General features: G+C 37.5%; 1 long non-coding RNA gene across 1 annotated transcript in view; it reads left to right on the top strand.

The window, feature by feature from the left end:
* The first annotated feature begins 340 nt into the window (after positions 1-340).
* MGC4859 (uncharacterized LOC79150) overlaps positions 341-12,837 on the top strand; it is a 330,125-nt gene continuing 317,628 nt past the window's right edge. Inside the window, exon 1 of the long non-coding RNA NR_147499.1 lies at positions 341-403. This is a non-coding gene — a long non-coding RNA (uncharacterized LOC79150). The remainder of the gene's footprint in view (positions 404-12,837) is intronic.

Below are 12,837 nucleotides of genomic sequence, written 5' to 3'. Positions count from 1 at the left end.
CGACGCAGCCATGGCCTTGCTGTCGTGGGAGTCCCAGACAGGGTAGGAAGGAGGGCCATAGAAAGGAGGAGGGCCGAGTGAACATGGAGTTTTGAAGGGGGAAACCATTTGTGGTATTTGAGTCCCGGAGGCATATGAAACCGCCCACAGAAGACACATTCCAAAGTCTTCAGTGGGAACCTGGGAGAGGGCAGAGGACTGCGCGGCGCTGGATGGGGTAGAGCGAGGAGGGTCGAGGAGGGGCGCCACAGCCCACAGAGCAGGCACCGACCTCACTGCGCATGTGCCCTGGGCGTCTTCCCGTCGGCCCCTTTGCCCACGTGGTGAACGCGGCGGAGCTGTGAGGGTGTGAGGGTCGCGCTCCTGCTGTCTGGACTTTTTCTGTCCTACTGAGACACGGCCGGTAGGTCCGCAGGCCAGTCTTCCCAGGGGTTGAAGTGTGAGTGAGTGTGAGGAGGAGCCAGCGGCCGTCTGGAGCATGGGGCAGCGTGGTCCGTGGCCTCAGAGGCCGATGGGTCTCAAGGTGATCGTCCTTCTCCTCGTGAGGTGGCACCGCCATGGGCCTTGTTGTAGTGGGGTCAGAACGAGGGAAGAAGGTGGGCCGCGTAGTTGAGAAGGCTCAGGTGAAGATGGGGTAAGTGCTGGGGGTGCTGGAGCAGGTATCGGAGTCCGTGGAACCCTCGACAGAGGACAGATTCTGGACTCCTCCGTGGCGACCCAGGAAGGAGCGGGGTGGGCATTAAGGAAGGGAACTGGAAACGCTGCAGGTTGGTGATCGCGGCCCTGAGGTCTGTAGAGTGCCCCGCAGAGGTGTCCAGTGAGGAGTGCCCAGCAATGTGTGGCAACTTCTCAACTTCACCGTGGAGGTTTGAATGAGCGGGGCTCTGCGTTCCAACGAAACTTGATTTTATGGGGGAAATGGGCCTAGCAAATGGGTGTGTGATAAAAGCCTTGATCACTGCAGTTTTAATTCTCTGGCTGTATTTTCCTAAATGTCTCCACGGAGGAGAGTTCAGTTCTGAAACCAAACCTTATCAGAAATATCCTGTATCTTTTGCCAGGAGCCTTAAGACATATCTAGTCAAAAAATGTCATTGTTACAAGAAAAAAGTATTTAAATGGTATAAGTGATCTAAGATATAGGTCCCAGAAAAGTTCAGTTCATAAGTCCTGAATTTCATTATTGGTTGAAACTTCTGGACAGATTATCTAAGGATTTCTTTGATTTTCTCTTGTACAGCTCTGAATTACAGCCTTCACTCCCAGAAATTTGTCTCCTAACCTCCTCCATATTGTGAGCTGTAGGGAGATCTGTATTTTATAAATGTTTGGGTCTCCCACAATTCCTGACTCAGAATAATAATAAATAATGAATGCTTATAGTATAGTTATATGACCATATTATATATCATAAAATACCTTTTTTTCCCCTAGGAATGAAAGGTCAGGTTTCAGTGGCAGTGAAGGTAATAGGCAACTACCCAGATAAAGTAAATAGAAAATAATTTATAAAGTGTAAAAACCAGATTGTTGAGTTATCTCAATTATTTATTTATTTTTTATTATACTTTAAGTTCTAGGGTACATGTGCACAACGTGCAGGTTTGTTACACATCTATGCATGTGCCATATTGGTGTGCCGCACCCATTAACTCGTCATTTACATTAGGTGTATCTCCTAATGCTTTCCCTCCCCCTTTCCCCCACCCCACAACAGGCCCCAGTGTGTGATGTTCCCCTTCCTGTGTCCAAGTGTTCTCATTGTTCAATTCCCACCTATGAGTGAGAACATATGGTGTTTGGTTTTTTGTTCTTGCGATAGTTTGCTGAGAATAATGGTTTCCAGCTTCATCCATGTCCCTACAAAGGACATGAACTCATCCTTTTTTATGGCCTCATAGTATTCCATGGTGTATATGTGCCACATTTTCTTAATTCAGTCTATCATTGATGGACATTTGGGTTGGTTCCAAGTCTTTGCTATTGTGAATAGTGCCGCAATAAACATATGTGTGCATGTGCCTTTATAGCAGCATGATTTATAATCCTTTGGGTATATACCCAGTAATGGGATGGCTGGGTCAAATGGTACTTCTAGTTCTAGATCCTTGAAGAATCGCCACACTGTCTTCCACAATGGTTGAACTAGTTTACAGTCCCACCAACAGTGTAAAAGTGTTCCTATTTCTCCACATCCTCTCCAGCACCTGTTGTTTCCTGACTTTTTAATGATCGCCATTCTAACTGGTGTGAGATGCTATCTCATTGTGGTTTTGATTTGCATTTCTCTGATGGCCAGTGATGATGAGCATTTTTTCATGTGTCTGTTGGCTGCATAAATGTCTTCTTTTGAGAAGTGTCTGTTCATATCCTTCGCCCGCTTGTTGATGGGGTTGTTTGTTTTTTTCTTGTAAATTTGTTTGAGTTCTTTTTAGATTCTGGATATTAGCCCTTTGTCAGATGAGTAGACTGCAAAAATTTTCTCCCATTCTGTATTCTATTTAATAAATGGTGCTGGGAAAACTGGCTAGCCATATGTAGAAAGCTGAAACTGGATCCCTTCCTTATACCTTATACAAAAATTAATTCAAGGTGGATTAAAGACTTAAATGTTAGACCTAAAACCATAAAAACCCTAGAAGAAAACCTAGGCAATACCATTCAGGACATAGGCATGGGCAAGGACTTCATGTCTAAAACACCAAAAGCAATGGCAACAAAAGCCAAAATTGACAAATGGGATCTAATTAAACTAAGGAGCTTCTGCACAGCAAAAGAAATTACCATCAGAGTGAGTTATCTCAATTTTTAAGTAAACATTTAGCCTTGCTCAATTCCCAGATCTGACCCTTGCTGCAACTTTGGACTTCAAGATCCTAAGGGACTGCAGTATTTAAGTGGTTAATGGGGACCTTTCTGGCATACAGTTACTTTGGGTCTTCATGGCCCCAACTGATAACCAAGGTTTGGTTGAACTACACATATATGGGAAAAATACATAGAGCTTAAAGATTTGGCCTTAATAATCATATTTCATAAGGTAAAACTAAGCTACATGTTTTTTTTAAACTACATGTTTTATAAATGATCATGAGAATACAGAGGAAAAGAAAAAGTGTTGCTGACACCCATGAGAAAGTTTTCATTTCTGAATTCTCCTCCTTCAAGACAAGCAATGCCTATAGAAGTTTCTGTCATGTATCCTCTCAAACCTGTGTTCTTTGGAACATTAAATTAATATTTTATATCACATTTCAATTTTTGTTTATATGCAGCTTAGCTTTGTTGCTAATGTTTATTTAACTTTGTGTTTGGCTCAGACTATGTGTATATATAGTTCTTTAAAGATAGTTTGAAAGTTGCTTAATATTTTAAATGGTAACAATGGCGATCTATCAACACTAAATACAATTTAATAAATGGTGACAGGAAGAATATTTCAATTGTGACTTTTTATAGCCTTCCAAGTACCAGCATTGTTGGTTAGTATAGTAAATTGTTTTGATCCATGTAGGATATTTGAAATGGCCATTACACACACACCCCCCCCCCCCCCCACACACACATACATATATACACATATAATGCTAAAAGACTATCTTTTAAAGTTTTGTTTTGGTTTAATCTCAAGACAAAGGGCAGAATAATCAAGGACTGTCATTTGCTAAATAAAGCATCTAGCTCTTTTTAGTTTATAAGGGCTATTAGGGAGGCAGGAATCCAAACTTACTTGATGAAAAGTCTTGAGTTTGAGTTGATGGGGGCTGCAATGGGCCTAAGTAGGTTGATTTTTAAGGGCATTTTTGTTTTTATAAAAGTTATATGTGAAAATAATTTTAAACTCAAATTAAGCTGTTATGAATGACAACAGTCTCTTCCTGCACTGACACCCTCCCTCATTTTCTGCTCTCTGTAAGCAACTAGTTCCAACTTTTAAAATATTTTTTAATGTTTCCTGTCATTTTGTTAAATAATGGATAACTTTGGAAAATGAAGGTTCCTCTCTTTCACAGGATCACCACTGACCTTAGCACATACATGTACTTTTCCAGTGTAGTTGTTGTGTATATGTTGGTTGTGTTCAGATCAATTATTAGGGTTTACATTAAATGACAGAGTCATTGATATTTATAGCTGACCCATATAGCAAACTCTGATTTTTCTTTTGGATATGATCTTTGGTTTTCCTGGAGTTAATAATTATTTTGACTTTCATATGCTTATTTTTTTTTGTATTTATCACCAATTCAACCATAAAATCTTCTCCAGATGTATAAATAATCTCTCATATGTTGAAAATCATGAGAAATTCTATTGATTTCATCTTATTGAAGATTTCTCACTTGGAGTTTTTTGCAATGCTTAAATATGTATCCAATGTTATTTAAGCGTATTGTACATCACCATCCGTTTTATCCATTACTCTGAGCCCTTAGCCCTTTTCAATTTGGAAACTCATGTCTATCAGTTATGAAAAGTTTCTTGAATGATTTAGTCCATATTTGGTGATATCTCTGAAACTCCTACTATCATAATCTAATATGGATTTTTTCTTTAATTATGTTTTCTGTTATAGTTTCCACTTCTGTATTTTTGTGTTTTTTTTCTTCTGAGAGATTCTTTATGTAGAATTTTAGATTTCTGCTATTGCATTTTTAGTCTCCAAGAGCCATTTTTTTGTTTTCTGAAAGTTCTTTTACTCTGTCGCCTAGGCTGTAGTGCATTGGCGTGATCTTGGATCACTGCAACCTCCGCCTCGCAGGTTCAAGCAATCCTCGTGTCTCAGTCTCCAGAGTAGCTAGGATTACAGGCCTGTGCCACCATGCCTGGCTAATTTTTGTATTTGTATTAGGCACACGGTTTCACTATGTTGGCCAGGTTGGTCTCAAATTCCTGACCTCAGGTGATCCACCTGCCTCGGCCTCCAAAAGTGGTGGGATTATAGGCATGAGCCACTGTGCCTGGCTTGAATGTTCTTTTCTTATAGTAACATAGTCCTTACTTTTGGGGTGCAGAATAAATTTAATATTATTGATAACATAAAGTTTATCATTAACATCAGCTCAAACAATTACAGAATTTCATAGTATGAGCTTTATCTGAAAAAAATTGGCAAATATAGTCAAAGAACCTAGCTAATCTTTGTCCTGAAATATTTGTAATAGCACTTGAATTGTATAATACTATTCTCAATGTTTAGATGTGAATAGGAACACACAGGGCTTTTTAGTCAAATTTTGCCTCAATTTCCAATTGAACTGATAAGTACCTAACCTTAATTTGCTGAACATAGATTTCTAAACATTTATTAGCAATTTCTAATCAAGTTAGTGAATTAGCATCCTCCTCTGCTGCTTTGTCTACATTTTCTTGTGTAGCAATACTTCTTTTGCTGATTTTTGTGAATTCTTCAAAGTTTCATTCCATGGGATACAAGTGTGGTATATTTCCCGCCCTTGTCCAGACTTCAGGAAATAACTAAAACACAAGGCAGACCTCCTCATCACAAAGTTAAATTAGTACATTTATTGAACAGAACTGAACCTACGACATAACACATGTGCATTATGACATGTGAGGCATAGCATGTAGATGATGCATAGACAGCCGACCTGCAGAACCACTGACTCTTATCTATAGCTAGAATTCATTTAGGATGCCTGGTATCAGAATATGCACTGAAGTGCTGAATATATCAACCCATTTTCTGTGTTGCTTCTGTGAAAGCTTATACAACTTCTTTGACAAGGAGTTCTGTTTTGGGCAGTGTCAGAAAAGTTTGCTAGGCATCACTGGTACAAACAATAGGACCTCTCAGATGCAAAAGTTTCTGGTCGAAAGAGCTCAAATGGGGCTTCCATTGGAGTAGATTATTCACTGCCCCTACCCAGTCTTCTTGTCCTCTTCTCCCACATGGAGCTCTTTCTCTAACTCATTATATTTCTCACCCTATTTCTTTGCCCCTCTCCTTTTTTTTCCTGTCTTCCATGAAATATTATAAACTCCAAGTTCTTCACTTTATATTTGTCCTTATCTCTGAAATTTATAAATAATGCAATCTATTATTTACCTAATAATGAACTAGGTGCTTTGCAGTGTGTTATCTAATTTAATCCTTGCAACAACTTTGCAAGTTAAGTTATCCTCTTTTTAAGCCACCATCTATTTGTGTTTGAATGACTGTGTGTATGTTTAAGACAGAGTGATTTTCATAGACTAGCATTTATTAATAATTTGCAGTACCACCTTCTAATTGGATTGAAAAAGTGTAACATCTACTAGAATATCTTATGCATTTAGTGCCTAATCATTTAGATTCTATTTTAATTTGTATTTCTCAGTATAATGGGGGTTTCATTCTTATGCAGTTTTGAGAAGTTTATGTTAAATTGAATGTCCCAGAATGAAATAAAATCACAAAGATGACAGAGTACAGTGATTTATCATTCTTTTTCTGTATATACCTCTATGAAGTAAGAAGACATTGCATCTTCTGTTTTTAGGTAGCACTACTTATATTTTTTTTAGTAAAGAGTTGTCACCGTGAAAATCAAAAGCAGACACATCATTTAAAATCCCACAATTAAGTATATGCTTCTCAGCAGCACAGTGACATCTTTGATAGTGTGGGTAATGTATGTTTTCTTCTCAGCTATCGGAAGCTGTGGTAATGGAAGCCAAGCTCAAACATCAAAGAAAAGAGGTTTTCCTTTGTAGGAAAACATCATTACATTTTCACACCATTAGGGTGATAGAAGTGTAGCACCTCCTCTGCATGAAGTAGATGCTTTTGATTTTTTTTTTAAGTAAACATCGACTAAGAAGCATGTAATGTTGATCATTACTTGTGTATATATTAGTACCACAATGCCCCAATAATGCCTATTGACTACCACCTTATTAACATTTTTAGGAAGGGGGTGGGATATTAAATAACTCACTAATTGAAACTCACTTTAATTAATTATTAGCAGTTACTTAGGCATATCAGCATCTAATTTCCTGTCTTTTAAATGACATTCCTTTGAAAACTTGAAGGTTTCTTCATGATAGCCTCGTAAAAATCAGCCATAGCAATTATTAAAGTGAGGACATCAGGCAATTTAATCTCCAACTGAAATCAGGACTAGATGCCAAGAAATGACCGGAATGCCCATTATTCTACTTTTCTCCATATTGTTAATGAACCGTTTTACTTAACAAAGGGTATATATACTTTAGAAACTGAGCTTACTGAAGGAAAAGTTTTACTTGAATAAAGCCAACATTGCCAAGATGCTTATTATTTTCTTGTTTAAGGAGGGTGAATACAGGTGAACCAAATATACCTGAATTCTATAGGTATTATTTTCATTGTTGTTCATATAACTTTACCTTAAACAATGTACAGTACCCAAGATAACACTGCTAAAATAATAGCAACGTAATGGTAATGACAAAAGCATCTCAAATCCATAAGGAGAAAGCAAAAAGCTTCATTTACTGCACTATTTCACACATCCAAAAAGATGGCCAGTTGTAGAATGTAAGCTCTTCTACAGGGAACAAAAACAGCAAGAGAAACAACGTGTTTCAATGGTTAAACCATTTTCTGATTGGTTGAAATTTACCCATCTCTTTGTTAAAGCTGCTGAGAAGTTAGCAAGGCCAAAATGGTACCCTGAGCAGCTGTCATTTATTTAATTTTCACCTACCAATATTCCTCAGATTAAATAATGTCATCCCAAAATCTTAGCAGCTACCACTTAGTTCATAGTTGCCTATTAATATTCTTAATGCTAACTATAAAAACTTTGGGGCATATTATAGAAATAATGACATTGATTTAGTATCTTCCATTTAAGCAAAACAAGTTTTTGCTTTACTGTGGCACTGGTTTTTAAAAAATACAAAAAATTAGCCTTGATATTTATGTAAAGCAGGAAGCCATGTTCTTTTGAAAACATTCCCTTCTAGTGATGATATAAGATAATTTATTATTTTAGTGTCGTTCTCCAGGTGATTTGATAGCTTGTGGTAGCAATGTTGGGGACAACGGCAGCAAAGCTTGAAAGACAGAAAATGGTAGCATTTAGTCCTGCAATAGCTATACCTCTGTCTGATTTTCAGGTGTACTTCTATCTGCTTTTATTATTTATGCTACTGTTTTCTCTTTTTTTCCTGTTTATTATTAGTTTTACTGGTTGGTCCAGATTGCTGCTTATTTCCTTTCCCTTCTCGTGTAGTCTTCAAATAATTAGTAATTCCAGTGGTATTTGGCATAGAAAAATAAAAATGGATTAATGAAGCATACTAGTGTCCAGAAATATATCCCAGTAAATATGAGAACTTAATATATGATAGAGATTCAATTCAATAGGAAAATAATGGTTTATTTAACAAAGAATCTTGGCACAATTGTCTATTCATTTGGAAGGAAATAAGTTTAGAAGCATGCCTTACATCATATATGCAGACTTCAGATAGAATAAAATGTAAATTTAAACACTGAAAATCTTAGAAGGAAATATAGGTTACTTCATGTAAAGGTTAGGGATGGAGAGCTCCTATCAAATATAGGACTCAGAATCTATAAAAGAAAAGAGACATACATTCAGGTATTTATGAATTAATATCTATTGTATAAATAAATTTTCATCGCAAAATTAAATAGAAAATATAGATTTTTGGAAAAAATTAAATGCAAATGACAGAAAAAGGGACTAATCTTTAAAATAAACAGAACCCTTAAATAATAAGCAGAGCCCTGAATAATAAACAAAAACAACTCTATTTAAAATGTACAAAAAGATTTAACTCTGTAATTGATAGAACAAATCCAAACGGCTAATCACATTTTTCAAGAATCTGAAGTTCACTACTTAGAAAATGCAACTTAAAGTAGCAGTGAGATATCACTTTATACCCATCAGATTGTGCCATTTAAAAAGAGCAATTACATCTACTCTGATGGGGTTGAGGAGACAGGGGGTTCTTACATATTGCTGTTGAAATGTGACTCAGAATGCAGTCTGGAACGGTCTACTAAATATAGAGATAAACATACCCTTTAATCAGCAAACTTATTCCTGGGAATTGAGCCCATAGAAATAAAAGCATTGAGTGCATAAGATTTATGTAAAAGAAGTTTATTGCTGGAATATTTGTGGTGGGAACAAACTGGAGACAAAGTGAATGCCCGTGAATAGAATAATGCACAAATAGATTGTTACATCCTTACAATAGAATATTGTTTTTCATTAAAAAGTATAGATTGGATCTTTGGCAGTTAACTTGGAAATGTTTTCAAATGAGAAGAGCAAGAATACATTAAAAAATGGGCATAATAGTTTCAATTTTAGGGAATAAACACTGACCAAAAATGTACCAAATCTCTATGTAGGTGGCTATGTCTTTGTATATTATTCTTCTGGTGTGGATAAGGTTATGGAAGTCACATGACTTGGTGCTAACATTAGAGGTGTTGTTGTATAGTGATGAGAAACATGGACCTTGGAGTTAAAATTCTTACGTTCAAATCCTGGCTATGTAATTTACTCGCTGTATGACTTTGGGGAAGATTTTAATTTTTTTTTCTATGCTTTAGTTTTCTCTTTTATAAAACAGGGATGGTGCTAGAACCTATCTCATTGGATTGTTGTATTAAATGAGTTAATATACACAAAGCACTTTAAAACTGTGCTGGTTGTACAATGCTATCAACTTATCAGTTACACGAGCTTGGGTAATGTGAATGGGGAATAACAGAGAAGAGAAAATAAAGAAAAAATCACCATGGAAAGAAAGAAATTAGCAAGAGTCCTCTTTTCAGATGGTTTGTTTCTCTGGGTGCTCATGTTGGTTACCCAACCGTGTCTTTCACCAGCCTGCTCTATTCAACTGTCTGAAAGATCCTTTTGTTCCGAGCACCACTTTCAAATCCTTGTCCCCTAGTTTGCCAGAGATTGAGGCATGAGGGACAGGCCTGCGTAAGGATTGGGGTTGATTTCTCAGAGCAAAGATTAATTGACACTTTAATTCAAATTCATTGGATAATTACTTGATGTTCATGCCTACTTTGGTTGCACAGTTTGTTTTTTCTTTAAGCGTAATTAATACTGCTCTTGTTCTTTTCTTTGGTCATTAGCAGGGGATTGGTGGGGAGGGGAAAGAGAATAGTAGGTACTTCAATCTGATGTTTCTATTTTAGGACATAATTATCCATGGACTTCTTGCATTTCTGTATTTTTTATCAGCAGCAGCACTTATAGATGTCTTTCAAATTATTTTCAAGGATTTGTATAAGAAACAGCTTAAGAAGATAGTGTCTCCCTCTATAGCCAAGAGTAAGTTTGTTTTCCATCCAGTAAAATAAAAATAATGCCTCCTTCTGGGGCAAAGGGCAAGTTTGCTTTTAGCTCGTTATAAAAGATTGGGGGTTTACTAAGTTCAGTAACCCTCAGATGTGACATAGACTCACTGTATATGTAGCATGTATCTGGGCCCCTACCCATTGCCTCAAGAGACATGGAGACAGGAGAGCTGATATGAACATGAAACTCATGCTGCCTGCTGTGTTATAAATAACAAAATTCCTTGCCTCTGACCCAGGAGTCTCATGTCTTCTGCCAACATCTATAAAACTGTGGCAGGCTAACTTGTCACCTTAGAAGTAGGGCAAATTCTCAGACCTTTCACTCTTTGATACCATTTACTTTAAGACATTTTTGTACTTTTGAGGTGAGATATTGTGGGTAAAGTGCTCATATAGCCAAGTTATAAGAAACAACCTTATAGATTGTAATGAGATGGAGAAAAGTATATTTTCCCAGTTTTCTCAGGAAGAGTGTGGTTTGTACTTTGAAAGAAAAACTTGAATTTTGAAAACATTTGAATTCCTGCTGTGTTGAAGGGGAGACTGATATCCCTTAGGGTGTGCTTAGTTTTCAGTAACTAAAATATTACCTGAATGCAAAATCCAAATGTCCATACCTAACTGCACAGAAGACTTGGAAATGTGATCTTTGCATAGATGAGATGTTCCTGTACCTTTCTATCATTATGTAAAAATAGGAGAATGTGTGTTGGGAACAAACTGCAATCAAACTGGTAACTTCTGCTGTAAATTTGCCTCTGGTTTAGATTCATTAAGGAAAGCCTCTCAAAGTAAGTTGTCTCAGATGTAGTGTGGCTATTATAGTTGAAAGTCGTTTTGAACTCAGGATGAGTATTAGGAAGAAAAGAAATGTATTATTTTATAGTATGGCTTACTTGACAAGATTGGGAGGAATGGCTAAATTTTGGCAAGAGATAACATTGAGTGGATGGCAAAGAGAAATCTTGTGGAAGGACTTGAAGGTCATTGTATGTTTATTACTGGATCTGAAAACACTGGATCTAGTAAGTGACTTAGCAGTGAAATACTTTAAGCACTTCCCAATATTTTTTATATCATACAAAATAATAATATTAACATGGTATTCTAGGGCAAATAGAGGAGGCAGCATGTGGCCAGTGGCAACAGGCCAGATCATTTCAGCCCACTGTGTCCCAGCTGTCCACCCTGAAAGCATCAATCCTGCCATATAACATTGTCCTTTATCATCCTGCCTGGGAAGCTGTACACTCAAAAGCATGTGTAGAGATATATTCTTAGTCAAAGCTATGAAGACAGAAGACAGAAGAAATAACAGATTGGACATAAAATGACTAGGGCCATTGCTTTCCTGAATGGAAACGCATACACTCAGGTCAGGTTACCTTAGAGAATTCACCCACTCCTGGGCCTGGCCCTGGCCCTGGCCTGACAAGCTTAGAAACATCATTTGTCAGCTGACCAAGAACAAATCTACCTCAGGGGACAGATTTACACAGAACAAACTAATAGAGATTGGTAAATAAAAACCAGAACACCAATGTATTAATTTACATTGAGAACGGAAGGTGTTGAAAGGATCCAAAAATCGTGTTTGCTGATCAATACATTTTATCTGTGGGAAATCTCACAAGGGCAAATTATGATTAGAAGTTTGCTCAGTGAGCCTGGGATAAGACCAGGAGAATGGGTTGTATGATCTTTGGGCCTGAGTGGAGGGGTTGAGATGCTCTGTGTTTTGGGATCACTGGACCCCAAAGTGTTGGAGACATACTTCAATGTCAGATGTTGAATGCTCTTTCAGAGGGGCCATCTTGACAGTCTTCATTTGTTTTTCTCTTTCTTTTTTGTAGAGATTAATATGAAACTCTACTTGGACACAGTTATTCTTAGTTGCAAATGTAATGCAGACCTACTCTCCTGAAGGCTTGTACTCTGGTCACATTGATTGACCATGAGTCATTTCTACAAATGGATGATCTCATTCCTTGCATTTTGAATTTTCTGTGATTCGATGGCCTTGGGAAGGAAGTGGGGGAGGATACATTATTAGCGGTAGAAGCTATCTTTGAGACGTAGAAAAATAATTGTTAATACATTCCTGGATGCGAAATAAATTACATTAAATATATAAAGGCAAAACTTACAAATAAAATCAGCATTTCTTTTTTTTTAAGAAAACAGATTGTGGGCCGGATGCGGCAGCTCATGCCTGTAATCCCAATACTTTGGGAGCCTGAGGTGGGCAGATCCCTTGAGTCCAGGAGTTTGAGACCAGTCTGAGTAACATGACAAAACCCTATTTCTACAAAAAAATATGAAAATTAATCAGGCATAGTGGTGCATGCCTGTATTCCCAGCTACCTGGGAGGCTGAGCTAGGAGGATCATTTGAGCCCAGGATGCAGAGGTTGCAGTGAGCTGAGATCACGCTGTTGCACTCCAGCGTGGGGACAGAGTAAGACCTTGACTCAAAAACAAAAA

Source organism: Homo sapiens, chromosome 7, assembly GCF_000001405.40.
Source record: "Homo sapiens chromosome 7, GRCh38.p14 Primary Assembly".
NCBI classification, from domain to species: Eukaryota; Metazoa; Chordata; class Mammalia; order Primates; family Hominidae; genus Homo; species Homo sapiens.
The sequence above is the reverse complement of the archived record's forward strand: the minus strand, read 5'-3'. Positions and strand labels throughout refer to the sequence as shown.